At 40.3% G+C, this 21,721-nt stretch overlaps 1 long non-coding RNA gene across 2 annotated transcripts; it reads right to left on the bottom strand.

Annotated features, from left to right (window-relative positions):
• Positions 1-3,149: 3,149 nt before the first annotated feature.
• LOC107985406 (uncharacterized) lies at positions 3,150-4,912 on the bottom strand. 2 transcript variants are annotated; one of them, XR_007067530.1, is made up of 3 exons: positions 4,505-4,912; positions 3,626-3,834; positions 3,150-3,309 (listed from the first exon to the last, which is right to left on the bottom strand). It is a non-coding gene; the product is annotated as an uncharacterized LOC107985406 (long non-coding RNA). The 2 variants fall into 2 exon arrangements; XR_001754498.2 differs by having other exon boundaries at positions 3,150-3,834; positions 4,505-4,628.
• Positions 4,913-21,721: the final 16,809 nt, after the last annotated feature.

Genomic DNA, 21,721 nt, shown 5'->3' on the forward strand with positions numbered 1-21,721 from the left:
ACAAAACAGAAATAATACAATAAACTTTCATTCACCTTCAGTACGACGGAGTTCCCAGGTCAATTAAGGTTGAGACTTCTCCCAGAATTATGGGAACCACAATCATGTCATTAAATAGGTGCATTTTCAGATTATTGGCATCTCAGGAAAGCTCAGAACTCCCTTTTCTCCATAGTTCCTCTGCCCCCACCACTTATACTGCCAGACTGTGGGGAGAGAAGTCATTCCAGAGCAATGCTATCCAATAGAAAATTACTGTGAGCTACACATATAATTTTACATCTTCTGGTAGTCATTTTTAAAGAAAAGTAGACAGTGTTTTATGTGTTGAGTCCCAGCAAAAAGTTATGTTGGAGTTCCAATCCCTGATACCTCAGAACGTGATCTTATTTGGAAATGGGGTCTTTACAGAAGTTAGGAAATTAAACTGAGGACATTAGTGTGGGCCTTAATCCAATATGACTGATGTTCTTATAAAAAGGGAAAATTTGGACACAGAAACCAAAATGCATAGAGGGCAGGTAAGGGGAATAGACACAGAGAGAAGACAGCCTTCTGCAAGCCAAGGAGAGAAGCCTGGACAGATGTTTCCCTCACAGCCCTCCAAAGGAACCCACCCTGTTGACACCTCGATTTTAGACTTCTAGCCTCCAGAATAGTCAGACAATAAATAATCAGTTGTTTAAGCCGTCTAGTTTCTGGTACTTGGTTAATGGTAACTCTAACAAACTCACAGCACAAAACCTAACACAGTGAAAAGATATTGTAATAATATGTTTTATTTAACCTATTTGATAATATTTAATATATCAAAATTATTATTATTCCACATGAAATCAACATAAAAATAGTTTACATTCTTCCAAATCCAGTGTGGGTTTGACTTTTACAGCACATCTCAATGTGGACTCACCGCATCTCAAGTGCTCAGTAACCATGTGCGGCTTGTTCCCCATCGGACAGCACAAGTCTAAGATGAGCTGAGTCATGCGGGAAGGGCCCTGCTCCCCACTTCCCCAAGAAGAATAAGTGCACATCCACTGCCCCAGGGAACTGTACAGTTGGGAGCATCTGGGGACTTTAACTTCATGTCAGAGGATACTACATTTTTTAAAAAAGCATTCCATGTTTTTCCATTCATATGGCTTCTGTTTTTAAAGGTTCATGTATTTCGAAACCTGACAATAGGGTGCATTTCCTGCTTGGGCAAATGGACCGATTCAGTGTTATTACTTTCATTATACAAATGCAAACTTTACAAGCAATTTACCATAGAAACTGAGAAAAAAACCCACCTTCTTCCAACTAAAAATATAACAGTCTCTATATAAATATGCACAACCATATGATGAACAATTTCTGGGGCAGAGAGCTCCATTTTATTTCCCTTAAAGAAGTCAGTGTGGTGGATCTTGAGTGCTATGTGCAGGCACGGATTCCTCATCCACATGCCCACCACAGGCGGGCGGGCAGTGCCTTCATCCTTGGGTTGGCCCTTCAACTCTGACTCTTCTATCTGTTGCATGGCACCAGAAGAAAAGAGCAGAGGGAGAAGACATTTCTCATATTGGTCAACTTTCTTTTTATAGCTTAAAAAATAAACATTCACAAATAAATATGGTTTATCTTGCCAAATACCTTTTCCAAGAAAAATAAGCACTGCCTGGAAAAGCTGGCACAAACTACTAATAAATGGGAGAGTTATCCAGGTAGATTCTAGTAGGGGAGAGAAAACGGAGTCCTGTAAAATTATGAGGAAAATGGGAGCATGAAAAGTATGAGACTGTGTTGAGAAAGGCACTGAGGCTGGCATTAGTCTGGGCCCGGGAGGGCCCTCCTCTATTTGTCTGCTTTTCATCTTTTTCCTTATGACTCTGTCCTCTCTTTGGTGTGACATCACCCATTACCACGGCTTCACTTGCCATATGTATTTCACTGATGGTCTCTAAGCCACTCACCGGCCCGGACCAAACTCTGACCCTCCAGAACCTTCTTTTTGCCTACTGTCCATCCTCATTCCCGGTTTCTCCAGCAGACCAAACTCCAGGTAGCAACAGCCTCAGCTTTTCCTCCTGAGCTTCTCCTCTTCTTGGCTTTCCTCCTGGCATAATGCACACCATTTATCACCTGAACGCTAAGGATCACACGTGACTCCTTTCTCCTCCTCATTCTCCACCTCCAGTCAGCCCCTGAGCCTCATGCCTGTTGCTGCTTAAAAACCACTTGAATCTCTGCTTCTCTTCGATCACTGGCACTGCACTGCCCACCTCAGGCCAAGCCACTGTCATTTCCCACCTGGACCATGAGGCAGCTTCCTCATGGGAAGCTACTTTCCATGATTCTGTTCCTTCCAGTTTGTCCTCCAAGCTTTAGATGGAGGGATTTCCAAAACAGGCAGATGTGATTAAGTGCTTGCTGGTTTTCATGCTTCTGTGGTTCCTCATTTCCCTGAGATTAAAGTCTCCATGTTCCTGCATGTTCCAGCAGCTGCCCCATCACTTTCCTCTCTCTGTTGGGTTCTACAGTGAATCTGAAGGTGAGGTGCCAATTGAGCAGCCTGACTCTCCTGGGAAGTTGTTAGAAAGGCAAATGCCAGGGTCCTCCATGACTTAGTTAATCTGAACCTTTGGGGCAGTGGTCAACATCTGTGTTTTTTAACAAGGCCTCCAGGGGATTCTGGTACATGGTCAAGTTTAAGAACTCTGGCCAACATGGTGAAACCCCATTTCTACAAAAATACAAAACAAAACAAAACACACAAACAAACAAAAATTAGCCTGGCATGACGGCGGGTGCCTGTAATCCCAGCTACTCAGGAGGCTGAGCCTGGAAAATCACTTGAACCCAGGAGGCGGAGGTTGTGGCGAGCTGAGATTGCGCCATTGCACTCCAGCCCAGGCAACAAGAGTGAAACTCAGTCTCAAACAAACAAACAAACAAACAAAAAAACAACAAACAAAAAAAACTACCAGTGCCCATGCTCAGCCATGTCAAGTAAAAAACACATCAGGACTCAGGAAGGGAGGGACTTCACTGGAAAGGAGCATTATAAGGGTACAGGGAAAGACTATTAGAATAAGAGGAATGCTCTGACCGCAAGATCTGCAAGCTTCTCAAGAGTTAGGCAAAAATCATTTTTCTTTTATGGAGGGTGAGCAAGGTTAGAAAGAGCCTAGTGTGACTCAGAAGTAGGATGGAAGAGTGTGGGATGATGTGACAGTGGTTTCAGAAGTGGCCTCTTCTCAGGAGCTGCTGTTGAAGAAGGTCTGCATGCTGGCTTGGGCTGAAGAAGGACCAAAGTACAGGGACCTGGGGAAAGGAGAGAAAATCTTCAGGTTTGATTAACAGACATTTTGTTACAACTGGTGGGTGAGGACAAACAGTTCAGCTAATCATTTATAAGGCAAAGCATAAGAATTTGGAGGGCCTGTGTCTATGCCTAGCTTTGTCACGGGTCATCCTTGAGTCTTCTCTATGTCCTATGGAGAAGGGAAGTTCCTTGTAGCAGACTGTTCTGAACACAAAAGACTAAGGGATTACTGAACCTTCGCTGTTGCCCAGGAGCAGAGGATTCAGGTAAAATGTAGCAGTGTCGGTCACTTGCACCTGCTGTGTCCCCTCTCACCTGTGGCCCTTTACACTTGCTCTCCCCTCTGCCTGAAGCACTCCTGCCCAGTTCTCCACTTCTCCTCTTCATTACATGCTCTTCCAGACAGTTCAGGTCCTGGTGTCATTTAGAGTCTGCTCTCCCATGCCAGACTCTATGTATGTCACCTTCACTCTGCATCTTCAGCTCTGACCCAGCACCTGACAACTAGATGGAGTCCATAAATACTGGGGAAATGAAGGAAAGTAAAAAGTTCTTGGAAGTTTTGTCAATTTAAGAAACGCTCCATGATTATCAACAATAATCCCTCAATAACTTTTTTCTTCTCTGCAGTTAGAAGGCAGCCTGAAATTTTGCATTTTCCCCCTGAGAGCTCCTCCACACTGCTCCTGAAATGGCTGTCATTCTACTTATTCACTGGGGTTCTCTTTTTCCAGGCTCAACTACCTGGTGGGGTTTTTTTTGTTGCCATTGTTGTTTTTTTTTGTCTTTTTAAACAACTTCTCTCGTTTTCCAGGGCAAGTTAGAGGTGTTAAGTTCCCTAATGTGCTACTAGGCTGCAAATGAAGAATTTAACAGCCCATGGGAGGACCAATTAGAATCAATTATGACATAATTGAACTGCCTTGTATTCCTTGTCGGTATAGAACTTCTTTCTGGAAGGAAGATTGTGCCTTTCTTCACACTATGATGGAGTAGCTGCATGAGTTCACAGGCAATGGTTCTGACCTAATCAATTCTAGAATAGAGTTTCGTGGAGCTAGCATGCCTTGTGATATCAGGGCCAGAGAAGCTCAGCTCAAGGAAGCCCTGACTTTCTCATTTCTGCCCTCCACCCCCCAGTTTTTTTTCCTTTCTTAAGAAAGCTGCTAAATTCTTACAAAGTATATAAAATACCTTACATGGGCCTCTGGAAAGTCAGGACACTCCACCTATTGAAGAAGTGAGAAGGAAAGATTGAGTCTGAGGTCACCATCCATTTCCCTCCATTTTCTTCATTATTGGGCGTGAGAGATCAGACAACCATGAGAAGATCAACTCTGTCCACTTTTCCCAGTAACCGTCCTCTGGAATCTGGCCTTTGGGCCATTGGTGATGGGAGCCAGTAGTTGCATGATTTCCTCTTTCTTGCTACACCCAGCCTCATCAGTCCTGGGTTGTAGCTTATATGGCTTCCAAAGGCTTCAGTCCATGATTAAGTAATCGGTCTCCCCAGCAGCAGCCGTCTCTATAACGCAGGCTCTTTTCAACTTCCTTTCTTGACTCTTCCTGTTTTTCATTCTTCCTCCCTGGAAATCTATACCCTAATAAAATAAAATAAGGTAAGCCCTCAATTTCACCCTCAGCTTTGTAATGAACCCAGGGAAGACCAATTAAACTTGTGAAAATGGTAAAACGAGAACAGGTTTTGACTTATTTGCATATTTTTGAATATTAGCAAATAGTTGAAGAGATCTAGTGACCAGTTCCTGACACAGGACTCTAAAGTAATAGAAGGAAAACTACTCTATGGCTCCGAATTTTGTGTTGTTTGAATATCCATGTCCAGTCACGTATCTGTTATATGCCTTCCTAGTTCCATTCAACTTCCTTTTTTATATCCTGGAGCAATTTCCTCCATCACTTACTCTCTATACAGAGCTTGTTTTGGTTTGGATCCCTCAGAAACAGATCCTGAGATAAGGATGTATGTGCAAGTAGTTTATTCTGGAAGTGATCCAAGGAGATGCTTGGATTCAGTGATCCAAGTTAGAGGAGTGGGGAGGTGAGGGGGAGAGAAAAGCAGGGAATAAAATATATGTCAATGTGGAACCCAATCCTGCTGGGGAAACTTCAGGAGACAATGTAGAACACAATTTGGAATTATCCCACTAGAAGGGCAAGGGAGCTGGAGTATTTACACACCAACTCCTATCAGTTGTATTGGTTGAGGGCTGCTCCTCGGGACAGATGGGATTAATTCTCTGTCACCTCCAGCCTGCCCTGTATGTAGGCAGAGAGGTTTGGGAAGCCAGAAAGAGTCCTAGGGCATCTGGAAATCAAGCCATTGTTCTCTATGACAGTAAAGCTGATAGGATATTGGTGGGATACAAGAATGCTATCAAGTTTACCTCCCTTAAGTCAAGAGAGCAAAGAGGAGCTCTATGTCTAGTGGTCTCTGGGAGTTCCAGCTTTCAGTAATCATCAGTTCTGGCTTCAGAATAAAACCACCTAGGAAACTTTTAAAAAATGCTATCACCCAGACACCTCACCAGAAAACTAATACAAGTGAAAAATAAGCGTATAAAAGAGTACTCAACATCATATGCTATCAAGGAATTGCAAATTAAAACAATAGACTATCACTACATTCCTATTAGAATGGCTGAAGTTCAAAACACTGACCATAACAAATGCTGGTGAAGATGTGGAATAACAGGAACCCTCATTCATTGCTGGTGGGAAAGCAAAATGGTACAGCCACCTTGGAAGAGAGCCTGGCAGTTTCTTACAAACTAAACATAGTCTCACCATATGATCCAGCAATAGTGCTTCTTGGTATTTACCCGAATGATTTAAAAACATATGTCCACACAAAAACCCCTCCACAGAAATGTTTATAGCAGCTTTATCCATAATTGCCAAATGTGGAGGCTTCAATGGAAAACGTCCTTCCATAGTTGAATAGATGAACAAACATACAAATGTGCATCTATATGCATATATACAATGAACTATTCAGCAATAAAAGGAATGAGCTATCAAGCCATAGAAACGTATGGAAGAAATGTAAGTGCATACTGCTAAGTGGAAAAGAAAAACTCAGAAAAGCCTACTATATGACGTTCTCTAAAGGGTAAAAAGCTACAGGCACCAAAAAGATCAGGGATTTCTAGGAATTTGGAGGAAAGAGTGGAGAGATGAACAGGTGGAACACATGGGGATTATTAGGGCAATGAAATGGTGGATGTATGACATTATGGATTTGGCTAAACCCATAGAACAGTATAACACAAACAGTAAATCTTATTGTAAACTATGCACTTTAGCTAACAATGATGTATCAGTTTTGGCTCACTTGTAACAAATGTACCATGCCAAAGCAAAATGAAAATAATAGGGGCAACTGTGTGAAGGCGGGGAGAGAGTATATGAAAAGTCTGTGCTTTCTGTTTAATTTTTCTGGAAATCTAAAACTGCCCTAAGAGATAAAGTCTAATTTTATATAGAACATACTCCATAAATTAAAATTTCCAGGGGTGAAAACCAAACATTAGTATCTTTTGCATGATCCCTGGGAAACCCTAATGTGCAGGGAGAGTTCAGTTGCACTGGGGTAAGTGTACAGAAGAGTTGAATCTCTCCTGGTTGTCTTTGTGCAAAGGTCTTTCCCTTGGAGGCAGTTGGTCTCAGTAGCATGCTGTTTAGGGAACAAGAGAATTTAAAAATTAGTGTAGAATCTGCAATTTTTAATTCTAAGGAGCCCATACATGCAAAACAGGTCACATACAGTTATGAATCATTAATAGTTTAACTACTTATTAAAATATATGCCTGTAATTTCATTAAGGTAAAAAATGTAGCCTTTGCTGTTCCAGAATGCTCCTCCAATCAGTATCACCTGGGAGCTTGTTAGCAATGCTCTTTCCTGGGTTCCCTCTCATTCTATGGAATCAGAAACTGTAGGGGATGAGGCCCAGGAATCTGGGTGTTGTCAGCCTTTCCAAGTGAAACTTAAGTGCCAATTCGTGAAAGTCGCTGTTTTGAACAGAGGACGAAAGTGTAAAGCAGTGGTTCTAAAACTTGGCTGTACAATAAAATGACCTGGGAAGATTTAAAAAAACAGCAATGTTAAACATATAGTGATGTTTAAAAAATATTGACATTTTGGTTCTATTTCCCCAAATTGTGATTTAATTGGTCTGCAGTATGTTTTGGGCAATGGGATTTTCAAAAACTCCCCAAGTGAGTCTAATGCGTAGGCAATCTGAGAAAAACTGGTGCAAAGACAATAATCAGCAAATTCTGGGCCTGCTGTCACCAACAGGTTGATCTCCAAAACTCACTTCCTTGAAACCCTCTCAGGAAACTTCTCCCAACCCGGAATATTTCCATCTTCCCCTGCCTCCATGCTCTCCAATTCATTATTACTAATACCACATTTTTGCCTCTGGTTCTTTTTCTCTTTCATGGTCTTAGGAAATGCAAAGTGCATCATCAGGGAAGTGTTAATAATGCCCATTTATTTTGTGATTCTGCCCCAAAAGACTTTCCTGCAGCCCAGTTATATAGTGCATATTACAAGAACTCACCCTGTAAAGAGAGGTGAGTTTAAGCGCTTTAAAGAGAGTTACTGTAATATGCACTAATGCTAATAAAAAACATTTAAATGGTGCTGGAATATTTTCTTTTGCTAACTTTTATTTTAAGTTCAGGGGTACAGGTGCAGGTTTTTTACTTGTGTCATGAGGGATTTTGTGTAGAATATTTCATCACCCAGGTATTAAGCTTAGTACCCATCAGTTGGTTTTCTTGGGACTCTCCCTCCTCCCACCTTCCATCCTCCAAAAGGCCCCAGTGTGTGTTGTTCCCCTCTATGTGTCCATGTGTTCTCATTGTTTACCTCCCACTTACAAGTGAGAACATGTGGTGTTTGGTTTTCTGTTCCTGTGTTAGTTTGCTAAGGATAATGACCTCCAGCTCCATCCATATCCCTGCAAAGGACATGAGCTCATTCTTTTTCATGACTGCATAGTATTCCATATTGTATATATACCACATTTTCTTTATCCAGACTATCATTGGTGGGCATTTAGGTTGACTCCATGTCTTTGCTATTGTGAATAGTGCTTCAGTGAACATTTGCATGCATGTGTCTTTATAATAGAGCAATTTATATTCCTTTGGGTATATACTCAGTAATGGGATTACTGGATCGACTGGTATTTCTGCCTCCAGGTCTTTCAGGAATTGCCACACTGTCTTCCACAATGGTTGAACTAATTTACACTCCCACCAACAGTGTATAAGTGTTCATTTTTCTTCACAACCTCGCCAGCATCTGTTATTTGACTTTTTATTAATAGCCATTCTGCCTGGTGTGAGATGGTATCTCATTGTGGTTTTGATTTGCATTTCTCTAATGATTAGTGATGCTGAGCTTTCTTTTCCATATAATTGTTGGCCACATGTATGTCCTCTTTTGTAAAGTGTCTGTTTATGTCCTTTGCCTACTTTTTTATGGAGTTGTTTGGTTTTTTCTTGTAAATTTAAGTTCCTTATACATGCTGGATATTAGACCTTTGTTAGATGCATAGATTACAAAAATTTTCTCCCATTTTGTAGGTTGTCAGTTTACTCTGTTGATAGTTGTTTTCACTGTGCAGAAGCTCTTTAGTTTGATTAGATCCCATTTGTCAATTCTTGCTTTTGTTGCAATTGCTTTTGGCATCTTCATCATGAAATCTTTGCCCGTGCCTATTTCCTGAATGGTTTTGCCTAGGCTGTCATCCAGGGTTTTTATAGTTTTGGATTTTACACTTAAATCTTTAATCCATTTTGAGTTATTTTTTTGTATATGGTGTAAGGAAGAGGTCCAGTTTCATTCAGTCTTCTGCATATGGCTAGCCAGTTATCCTAGCACCATTTATTGAATAGGAAATTCTTTCCTCGTTGCTTGTTTTTGTCAGGTTTGTTGGATATCAGATAGTTGTAGGTGTGCAATCTTATTATTGGGTTCTCTGTTCTGTTCCATTTGGTCTTTGTGTCTTTCTTGTACAGTACCACGATGTTTTGGTTACAGTAGCCCTGTAGTATACATTGAAGTCAGGTAGCATGATGCCTCCAGCTTTATTCTTTTTGTTTAGGATGGCCTTGGCTATTTGGGCTCCTATTTGGTTCCCTATAAATTTTAAAACAGTTTTTTTCTAATCCTATGAAGAATGTCAGTGGTAGTTTAATGGGAATAGCATTGAATCTTTATATTGCTTTGGGCAGTAGGGCCATTTTAACAATGTTTATTCTTCCTATCAATGAGCATGGAATGTTTTTCCATTTGTTTGTGTCATCTCTGATTTTTTTGAGCAGTGGTTTGTAGTTCTCTTTGGAGAAATCTTTAACCTCCCTAGTTAGCTGTATTCATAGGTGCTTTATTTTTTTGTGGCAATTGTGAATGGGAATTCATTCCTGATTTGGCTCTCTGCTTGACTGTTGTTGGTGTATAGGAATGCTAGTGATTATGGCACATTGATTTTGTATCCTGAGACTTTGCTGAAGTTGTTTATCAGCTTAGAAAGCTTTTGAGCTGAGATGATGGGGTTATGTCATCTAGATATAGGATCATGTCATCTGCAAACAGGGATAGTTTGACTTTCTCTCTTCCTATTTGAATGCCACTTATTTATTTATCTTGCCTGATTGCCCTGGCCAGAACTTCCAATACTATGTTAAATAGGAGTGGTGAGAGAGGGCATCCCTTTCTTGTGCCTATTTTCAAGAGGAATGCTTCCAGCTTGTGCCCATTCCGTATAACAGCACTGTATTTTCTACAAGCTGGAGATGTTCTTATAACATTTCTCTTCTCTTTTTTTCTCCTTCCAAAAATTGATAAGAATAGGGCTTTGGGGTTTTGTGTTCAAGGAGAAAAACTTTACTAGGGATTCCAAAGAGGAAGATGATCAGGGAAGAATAATAGGACCCAGAATCTCATAGCAGGCTGTCATGGAAATAAGAGTTGTTTTGGAGAGGGGGCATGATGGGAATGGATCTCTGAGTCAGATAAAAAAAAGAAGTTTTGAGGGTTTTCTGTGTCTGGCAGAGACCCAGGCTGGCTTGCATACGGAAGACGAAGACCCAGGCTGGCTCGCATATGGAAGACGAGGCTGGTTTGCATACCAAAGACGAAGGAATTGACCCTGGTGGCTAAAGGTGGCTGAAAACATGCATTGTGGCCTTGAGAGCATTGGAGGGGAATTCTGTCAGCAGGTCCGCTGTCAGTGGAATAGACCATGTGTGGCGTGCCTCTGAGTATGTTAGTTCCCTATTGCTTGTAACAAATTGCCATAAATTTAGCAGCATAAAACAACACACAGTTAATATCTCATGGTGGATTCCGTGGGTAGGGAGTACATTATGGCTCAGTTGAGTGCTCTACCCAGGGTCTTACTGGCTGCAATCAAGATGTCAGCTAACAATAATGTTTTAGAATTGGCTCTTTTGTAGCAAATGTACCACAGCCAAAGCAAGATGTTATAATAGGGGCAACCCTTCTTTCCAAACAACTCATTTTTCCAAGACAGCCTCCTAAGGGCTTCTATTAATTATTCTTCCCTGATCATCTTCGTCTTTGGAACTCCTAGTAAGTTTTTTTTTTTCCTTGAACACCAAACCTGAAAGCCCTATTTTTACGAAATTTTGGAAGGAGGAGGGAAAAAGAGAAGAGAAATGTTCTAAGGACAGCTCCAGCTTTTAGGAAATACACTGTTGTGTTCCATTCTGGAGCTTGGGGTCTTCTTCCAAGATCACATGGTGTTTGGCAAAATGCAGTTTCTCCTGGTTTTCTTGCTGCTGTCAGGTGGGTCCACTCTTATCTCCTATGTGCCACCTGCAGTTCTTTACCACATGATCCTTTTAAAATGTGACAACTGACTTCTTCAAGGCAGCGGAACAATCTTTTGCCTCAGAGATGGCTTAGTCCCCCTTTATATGGGCTTTCACCTCATCATTATAGGCCCACCCTGGAATATCTTTCTTTACTCAAAATCAGCTCGCTTGGGATTTGAATTACCTCTGCCAAAATCACTTTACCTTTGCAATATTGTAATGGCTAGAGGCAAGTTGCAGATCTCAGCCACACTTAAGAGGAGGGGATTACATGAATGCGGGGATACCAGGAAGTGGTAGTCATTGGGAGTTAGCCTAGGGTCTGTCCCTCACACCGAGGTAATGCAAGGTACAGGCCAGAAATGACATTAGAATTAGGTCACAGGGGAGCACTGGTAAAGTCAATGACGTAGTGGGCCAAAGGCCTGGCCCTTTTCCTATTTCATAGCTTCTAAAAGACCCGCAATTCTTGCATGAGGCCATCAACAGAGACAGAGGGCCTCAGTAATGATGAGCATTAACAAAAATCATTCCAAACTTGGATGTAAGATCAAAGGTGAAAGGCTGGATTATTCAGTGTCATACAGGAATAAAGAGTCCACCCAGGGATTAGGCAATACATGTTGTTTAACTAATTGTTCCCTATGGATTAGAAGTCCCAGACGTAGTGAAGCTACTTTGTATCTTGCAAATTTTTGTTCAGTGTACAGATGCAAATTATTTCTACAGTGGAGCAGATAACTTCAAAGGGTATGATTTATCACCCTGGTAGGCATTAACACATTTTGTATCTAACCCAGCAATATCCTAACCTGCCTTTATTACCTCACCTGTAATAGAGACTTGAATTACAAGTCTTGAATTGCAAAACAGCAACAAGAAAACCATGAGAAACTGAATTTTGCCAAATACCATGTGATCTTGGAAGAAAACTCCACGATCCAGAACAGAACACAGCCCAGCTGACACCTGGATTGGAGCCTGCGAGGCCCTCAGCAGAGCACCCAACTGAGCCATAATGGACTCCCTGACCCACAGGAACCATTACAGGTGGTTTCTTTATGAACTCACTATAACAGGTGAGTTAATAAAGGCAGGTTAGGATAAGATTGCTGGGCTGGATTTAACATCATACTGTTTCTCTCAGTAATTAGTAAGTTGAATAAATCTTTGACCCATGTTCATTTTATATTTACCTGATAATTATTTTATCCTCTTGAAAATTATATTTTAACAATGGGAAGGAATTCTCCATCAACCAGGCAGGAGAATACAGTTTATTTGATTTTGAAAAATAAAGAAAAATGATTTCTTTTTAACCCAATGGGGTAGGGGTACAATTCATCCTCTGCAAAATCCTCTCAAATTCTAAGAGGAAATAATGTTCTTTTGAAGGAAGGAAGGAAATAAATCCTCCAATAGCCACATAACTTTTTCCCTGTAGACTTATAAAAGCCTCATCTGTGGTTTGCAGGCTTAAGACAATAATACTTAACCACCAGATCTGGTAGTGATTGTAGCCCTGGCAAAACATTGAGACCCAAGTCAAAGATTCATTGTGAGGGTAAAGCATGCAGGTTAGAGCCTCTGTCAGAAATGCTCTGCTGAAAATATCTCAGACTGAGCACTCGCTGATATGACAGATTTCTAGCTAAATCTTTTCATTTTTTTCAAGCATGGTTTGACCTGGTTCTTGGCATATATAGTGTAATCCAATTAAATAAAAATTTAATCTGTTAAATTTATTTATAAATATATATATATCCTTCATTATGTATAGTTTATTTTATTCATTTTATATACATGTATACACACATGTGTGTATGCATGTGCATATACATGTGTTATGGTAATTTTGACTTCATGCTATTTTCATCTCTTACATTTACTTTACAACATAATGCTTGGATAAGACATGCCACCACTGCATATGGACCCAAGCCTGGCGTTGGATGCCACTTCACAAATGCTTGGTCTGTGTTGCATAACATATTTTCACAGAAGTTCAGGAAAGAACTGAGTCTTAGGCTGAGCCCTACTTGGACTTCTGAGTAGACCTTGTGGTGCCACCCAGAGTCCGTTTATAGGGCTGATACATGCATTGCTCAGCTACCATGGATGTTGCTTCTTAAAGGCACATAGCTGTCCTCCGTTTGTCTTCCTGAGAGAATCATCTTAATCAACAGAAGCTGTCTTTCCCAGAAATACTTGGAGATTATTCCCTTTAACCCTCAAAGTTGGGGCAGCCTGGACCCAATGATTGACTGATATCAAGGTGCAGAGCTGGCCCCATTTGATTCATAGGGTGGTCACTCAGTGACACTCTGGAGCTTTCTGTGGGCCAGGCTGAGACTGGATTTTAGCTGACATCACATCCTTACTTGGCTCCTTCACTGTCCTATCCCACATCACTCATTCTCCTTCTCCTCAGAGTGCCCCACCCAATGGTCACTTTGCACAAGAATCCCCATCTCAGGCTCTGCATTTGGGGAGTGCAGCATAAAACTTTCTGAGACAAAAACCTTCTGAGCTGATTTTCCTACTGCAAGTAATCCCAGAATGTTGACAGTGTGTCAAAGGAAGTACAGTTCCTTTCCTAGTAGTGATACTTCCTGTATTTAAGAGGGTAATAGTACCTTCCATATAACTACATTTCTACCTCTTTAATCCCTGACACTATCTTATCCATAGACATTTTTGGAAACTAATTCTATTACATCAGCGAAGTGGGAAATTCTTTGGACATGAAAGCAGTGGACTTTGTTTCTCAGCCAAACTCTACGGCAGACTTGCCATGTGGATGCCGCAGGACCCTACAATGGCGGCTCATTTTCACCATTGATGAAATGGGAATTGTCCAGCTGTCCAGACCACTTTGCAGATTACTGGGAGTGGCTAATATGAATGGATGGTGAATATAAAAGTATTTTGAGAACTTCCAAGTATGTTAGGATAAAGTACTTTTGTTTGTAAGAGAATATAGTATAATTGCAACTGACTTGAGGGAAAAAAAGTGACTATAAAAGCTTGTCTGTCTAAGAAGTTCACAGATTGAAACTGAGATCAGATTTAGGAGCTGTCATCAATGGAATTTTTCTTTACTTTTATCTTTGGGTAATTCTTACTTCTTTTTAGTTTTATTCTCAGGCACAGGGAAGTAAATGGCTTTAGTTAGCACATCTCCATCCCCCCACCACCACTACTCAGGCATAAGAATATCCTTAGAACTTATGACTCAGGGGAAAAGAGAACAATTTTCTGAGTAACTCTGGCAAAAATCATGGGAAAAACTCCCATGGGACAGGATTGTATCACATGCCTATCCCTGAACCAATCACTGTGGCCAGGGATGGTAATATACGAATTGGCTCAAACTTGGCTTACTGACCTATTCTAGGGTCATGGGATCTAAATCCACTATGCCATATGGAATAAGCAGGAAGGCTGTGGAGTAAGAAGTGATGATTTTCCCCCCCAAAATAGATACTAGATCAATAACCATATGTCCAGTGTTGTACACATTGCAAGGTATAATAATTATTAAACAGATAATATCAAATGTTGGTTGCTCTCAAGACCATAGATAACTAATTAGTCCTTGTGGTATATTACTCTATTGTGATAATTCATATGATAGGTAAAGTTGTTAGTATCACCAAATTGTCCTAGACTCTTAAGCATTGTTAAATATTTGCATCTGTATTATTCTGAAGTTTTTCTGTTTTCCTCTTGTCCATTATTGAAATTTTAATATGCTTTAAGTGTCCCTTCCACCCATTCTACCATGGACCAAGATTCTAGACATTTATGTTGAGATAGAACTTTGTTTAAATGAGAATATGTAGTTTTGAGAGAGACTCTCTCCTCTAAGAAAAGTTCACAGGTATTGAGACATCTTATTTTAGTGCTTAGAAGATTTTTATTCTCTGCTGATTTCTGATTTGTGACTTTTTGTCTCAAGAAGAAAAATAGTCCATTCTACCTCAAAAGATAGCTCTGTTAAGGAATCTGGATTGGATATCTAGAGTTTAGAGGGTTTTCTTGTTTTTCATTTTTTTCACTAATGAGAGAGCAGGCAATTGTGGCATGTGCTACAACTTCAGAATGGTAAGACTTTGATTATATTTCTGAGTCTTCCACTTACAGGTTAATCAAGTTAGTTCAATCTTCATTATTAAAGCACTTTTTAAATTACAGGCACAGTTATAGATACTACAGATATAATAAGGGTTATAGTAAATAGCTTTTCAGTTATCTATTGCTATAGAACCATTCACCTCAAAACGTATTGGCCTAAAGTAATAATCATTTTATTTTCTCCTGATTCTGTAATCTGCACTGGACTTGGCTATGTGGTTCTTCTGCTGGTGTCACTTGAAGTCTCCATGGGGCTGTAGTAATTTTGATGATAATCTGGTCCTGGCGGATCCAGGAGGGCTTCACTTACAAATCTGGCATCTTAATGCTCCTCTTCATGGTCTCTCTTTTCACATAGACTGATCATACAGTGACCTAGTCCAAGCTTTGTTACAGCATGGCAATTGGTTCAAAGTGTGAGTACCCCAAGAAGATAATGCCCCGTTGGCCATTCACATGACCAAGTCTCTACCCAGTGCTGGAGGGGAATGCACAGCAGTGAGTTTCACTGGGTACTATCAAAGTAATGGCCTACTACAAGTGGTTCTAACTAAACCTGTGATTTTCAAAGTGTATATCTTAATTTGTTTTCTGTTGCCTACAGCAGGATACATGAAACTGGGTAATTTATAAAAAAAGAAGTTATTTCTTGCAGTAATGGAAGTTGAGAAGTACAGAGTTGAGGGACACATCCAGTAAGACCCTTCTTGCTGGTGAGGATTCTCTGCAGAGTCCTGAAGTGGTTCAGGGCATCACATAGTCAGGGGGCTGAGCATCCTAACTCAGATTTCTTTTCCTTTTCTTATAAAGCCACTGGTCCCACTCCTATGATAATCCATCAATCCATTAGCCCATTAACCTTCTAATCCATAAGTGGATTAATCCATTCATGAGGGCAGAGTCCTCATGACCCAATTGCTTCTTAAAAGTCCCACCTCTCAATACTTTCACATTGGGAATTAAATTTCAATATGAATTTGGGAGGGGAACAAATATTTAAACCATAACTGTGTTCTTTCACATCCCTAGAATTCCAAACAACACTTCAGAGTGAAGTAGATAAGCCTCAATTCAACAGTAAGAATTTCACTTACAAGTATTAGGCATTAGCAGTGAAGATTTCTATTGAGGAAACTGTTCCACTGCTAAGAGTATATATATTTTAGAATCATCGAACTATATGATTTCTTTTAAGTTAAACATTTTGTGATTTTATGACTCAAGGAGTTCTCGGGCCACTTAGTTGATCTGTCCTCAGATGATAACACATATTCTTATCTACTCTACTGGATAGTTTCCAAATGGATGCAATAATGTCTCCACACTGCTTAGAAGACCTCAACAGCAACACTGAATGCGCCCATTGGTTTTCAATTCATTTTCTGCATCACATCCTGCATGGGAAATACCTCTGCTATTTAGAGAGTTAATATCCGTAATTATGAGCACTTATGAATTTACAGGCAGGTGTTAACATTAAGGAAGTCAGTACTGTGAACATATATTCATTTGAAATGTACTGTCCTGTATATGTGACCATGATATCATCATTCCCTGTGAACAGCACACACACTATTTTATTTCTAAAATTGTAAGTATTTTTCAAGTAGCAACTATAACAGCTATCATATATTGAATCCTTATTGTATGCCAGTCACTGTGCTAGGTGCTTCTCATATCTCCCCCTAAATACTTTCAAAACCTCTTCAAAGTTGGTGCTAGTATTATTCCCATTGAATGAACAAAGAAGGAAATGGAAACTTAGTAAGTGATCCAATTCCATGCAGCTAAGAAGAGAGTGCCAGAGCTGAAATGTGAATCCAGACTTTTCTGGATTCACAAAACCAGTCGTCTTTCTCTCCAGCATGTTTCGGTCCTCCCATACCTCACCCCATTCCTCTTGTGATTAAGGACATAAGCTAAGGTGTGAGGCTTTGGCATATGGAAAAGGAACATACTTGTCAAGACAGGGCTGGACTCTGGCTATTGCCAGCAGCGTGGATGGGTTCTCAACTTTAGCTGCACATTGAAATAATCCTAGGGGCATTTAAAAAATCCTGATGCCTGGGTTCCGCTTTTTGAATCCCTGATTGAAATTAGTCCTGGTGCAGCATAGGCATTGGAGTTTTCCAAGTAGTTCTAGCAATGCAGCCAGGGCTGAGAAGCCCTGACATAGAGGAACCACATTTAAGTGCCTCCAAGATGTAATGAGCTACTTGCCAGTATCCCCTCTTTCATGTCATTGCATGTAATAATGTAATACTTCTTTTATTTATATTTAATTACTTATTTATTTATTTATTTTGAGGCAGTCTCACTCTGTTGCCCTGGCTGGAGTGCAGTGGCACAATCTCGGCTCACTGCAACCTCTGCCTCCCGGGTTCAAGCGATTCTTCTGCCTCAGCCTCCTGAGTAGCTGGGACTATAGGCACACGCCACAACGCCAGGCTAATTTTTTGTATTTTTAGTAGAGATGGGTTTCACCGTGTTAGCCACGATGGTCTCGATCTCCTGACCTCAAGATCCTCCCGCCTCGGCCTCCCAAAGTGCTGGGATTACAGGAGTGAGCCACCGCGCCTGGCCCATTGCATGTAATGCTCCTATATGGAATGCTCTTACTTTGTTTTTCCTTGAGAAACTCCTAATCATGCTTCAAAACCCAGACCCAGTGAACAAAAAGGAAATAATCAAGGGGAACCAAAAAGTGTGCAAACATTCAGACCAACATTTTAAAAATATCCAGGTTAATGATCACTACCTCCCAAAGTTTCTTAGCACATTCCCTCAACATACTGACTGATTCTACCTAAAGAATTTCTGCTTCTTAATTCTTAGACTCCACCATCTGCCCCATCTCTTTTTAGTCCTCTCACTTTTGGAAGAGATGCCCCAATCACTCCTGGTTCTGTGAATCAACTGGGAGCTAGCTGGGGAGGAGGAAATGATGCCAGTACTCCAGTTTTACCTTTTTAAAATCTCTTCTGATTATAGAAAAGTCTTGTGAGGATGCACAGTGGGCTGCAGGGCTGTTGAGCTCATAGAATCAGTGAGAGTCACATGCGGCTTTCTCTCATGGGAGGGTAAAATGTGTTTACTCATTCAGCTTAGTGCAGTTTACTATCATCACTTTATCCTACACAATTAGTTGGATTTGAGGGGGCATGAAAAAGATGAGAAAAATGTTGAAAATGGAAAACACTATAGGGAAAATAACAACTCTTAACACGCTTGAGACATATCTCAAGCAAGGCTATTGGACTATGGGTAAAATTCTCCCAAGGTCTACGTTGTTTATTAAAACCTATTGTGGGCTGAGTACGGTGACTCACACCTGTAATCCCAGCACTTGGGGGGGCTGAGCCAGGTGGATCACTTGAATCCAGGAGTTTGAGACCCAGCCTGGGCAACACAATGAGACCCCATCTCTTAAAAAAAATGTATAAATGAGGCAGGTGTGGTATTGTGCATTTATAGTCCTAGCTACTTGGGAGGCCAACGTGGGATCACTTGAGTCCAGGAGGAGTTCAAGGATGCAGTGAGCTATGATCATACCACTACACTCCAGCCTGAGTGACAGAGTGACACCCTGTCTCGGAAAAACAAAAACAACAGCAAAAATACAAACCAAAAAACAGAAAACAAAAACCCAACCTATTGTGTCTAATTTTTTAAAGATCTCTCAACCTTGCTTAAGTGACCAACACTTAAATCTTCTCTAATTGTTTAGTTTACATTTATTTCACCTCACAAAATAAATTGCAAGATTCTTAAGAACTATATTTGTCACTGCATGATTATACCATCATCATCATAGTCATCGTATCATTCTTATCTTCATAGCTAACAGTTGTATAGAACTTACCATTTGCTGAATACTCTTCTAAGAACATTAAGCATATAAACTAATTTACATATTTTATGGTTCACAACATCTCTATGAAAAGTTACAATATCCCTATTTTACATATTAGAAAACTGAAGCATAGAAACATTAATTGATTTCATTTTCTAATGTACACTCAGTTGATAAATGGGAAATACTCTGATGACCCCAGAAATCTAATTCTGAGGTCTAGATTCTTAATCTCTATATGTTACCATTTTCTGGCATATTCGTAAAAGGAAAATAAGTTATTGTTATTATGAACAGGTAACATATGGTTCTCTTTATTTAATGTACTCAGGAATGATAGAGAGAGTCACTGCTAAGGTTTCAAAAAGACAGTCTAGGGAAAGTACCTCCCTTAAATATGCATGTGCAATCTGTACATCTATACATGAAAATGAAATGTCAATGGCATACATCAAAATGTTAGCAGTGGATATTTGGGATGGTGGGATTTTGGGTGGCATTTTTTTCTTTCTTTGTGTTGTTTTGAACTTTTACAAATATTTGCTACATTGAATATTAGATATTGCTATATAGTATATATTATATTTATTATCCAGAAGGAAAGAGGCAGCTTATGAGAGTGTCAGCAAAGTATAAACTGTATCCTTTCCCTAGAAGAATCAGAAAACAAAGCCTAGAAGAATCAGAAAACCCTAAAGGAATCAGAAAACAAGCGTAGAAAGCCATAGAAGAAGAAATTGGAACAGAAAAGAAATTTTCTCATGTTCCCCTCCTTCCTCCATGGTAGCCTTATGCTAGCAGCAGGCTGCAGCCCAGGTAGGAAGGCTGACCAAAACTGAATCATGTTGGAGCTTTGACATTTACAAGAACTAGACATTTTAATTACTTTTCTGATTTAAACTCATGGAGAATTTTTATCACATACTTGTCATGGGATAAGTCATAGGACCTGCTAAGCTTTTTTTCAGGGCAAAGAAAAAACAACCAAGGAGCAGATTTAAAAAGAATTAAAAAAAAAAAAAAGTCAGTGTGAGGTGGCTCACACCTGTAATCTCAGCACTTTGAGAGGCCAAGGTGGGAGGATCACTTGAGCCCAGGAGTTTGAGACCAGCCTGGGCAATATAGGGAGATCTTGTCTCTACGAAACATAAAAATTCATTAGCCAAGTGTGGTGGTGGCATGTGCTTGTCGTCTCAGCTACTTGGAGACTGATGTGGGAGGATCGATCGCCTCAGCCCAGGAGGTCAAGGCTGCAATGAGCCACGGTGACGCCACTGCAGTCCAGCTGCATAACTGAGAGAGACCGCGTCTCAAAAAATAAACAAATAAAAATTAAAAAAGTAACGTTAGTTACAGGATTAACCCACCCCCACCAGGAGTCCTGCCTCGTTTACTATCCATCAGGAGTCCTTCAGTGTTTACCATTTGTTTGCATATACAAATATTTATGAAGAAAGAGAGGCAGAGAGAGGAAAAGGAGAGAAAAAGATAAAATGATTTTATCATATTTTGTATAAAGTTTAATAAATATATTTCACCTTTGGCCTTTTTTAAAGAGCCTGCTAAAAGATTTTAGCTACTTTTCTACAATTTCTGAACATAAAACTCACTGATGTTTCTTCTGATTTTAACAAAACGTTGAGATAGACCTTGAGGGGGGGCTCTGGATTATGCAGGTACGTATGTAAATGTGTTATGGGGGAAGGAGAATACACTCGACTAGCTTTGCTATCACCAAAAAAAAAAAAGGCTCTTCATGCTAGGGATAAGCTTTCAACTTGGCCTTGAAGGATAAATAGAGAGGTAGTATAGCACAGTATTTACATGCAAGAACTTAAGAGTTAGAAAAGCCTAGATTCAAATTCAATGATCAGTCCTCCTCCTCCTCCTCCTCCTCCTCCTCCTCCTCCTCCTTCTTCTTCATCTTCAGACAGGGTCTCAATCTGTTACTCAGGCTGGAATGCAGTGGCAAGATCCCAAGATCCTAGCTCACTAGAGCCTCAAATTCCTGGGTTCAAGCAATCCTCTTTTCTCAGCCTCCCAAGTAGCTGGGATCACAGGTGCACACCACCATGCCCACTAATTTAAAAAAAAAATTTTTAAAAAGACTACATCTCAATATATTGCCCAGGCTGGTCTCAGACTCCTGGACTCCAGCAGTCCACCTGTCTTGGCCTCCCAGTGTGCTGGGATTAGAGGTGTGAGCCACCACATCCAGCCAATGCTCAGTTCTTATTAATTGAGGGACCTGGGATAATCTTTCCAAGCTAAGTTGTGAAATAAGAATTATTATTTAATCACATTTTGTTGTATCTTTCATTTTATATTAACTTAATTAAACATAATCAGATAACATAGTATTATTGATTATAGATGTATAATAATAATAATGCAGGTGTCTTTCTCCGGATTTATGATTATTATACAGTCTAACTCTGAATATGCCAAGCATAGTGCCTATTAGGAGGTATTCAAAAAATGGCAGCAGGCCAGCCGTAGTGGCTCACGCCTATAATCCCAGAACTTCGGGATGCCAAGGTGGG

This window comes from Homo sapiens, chromosome 20 (assembly GCF_000001405.40).
Source record: "Homo sapiens chromosome 20, GRCh38.p14 Primary Assembly".
Taxonomy (NCBI): Eukaryota; Metazoa; Chordata; class Mammalia; order Primates; family Hominidae; genus Homo; species Homo sapiens.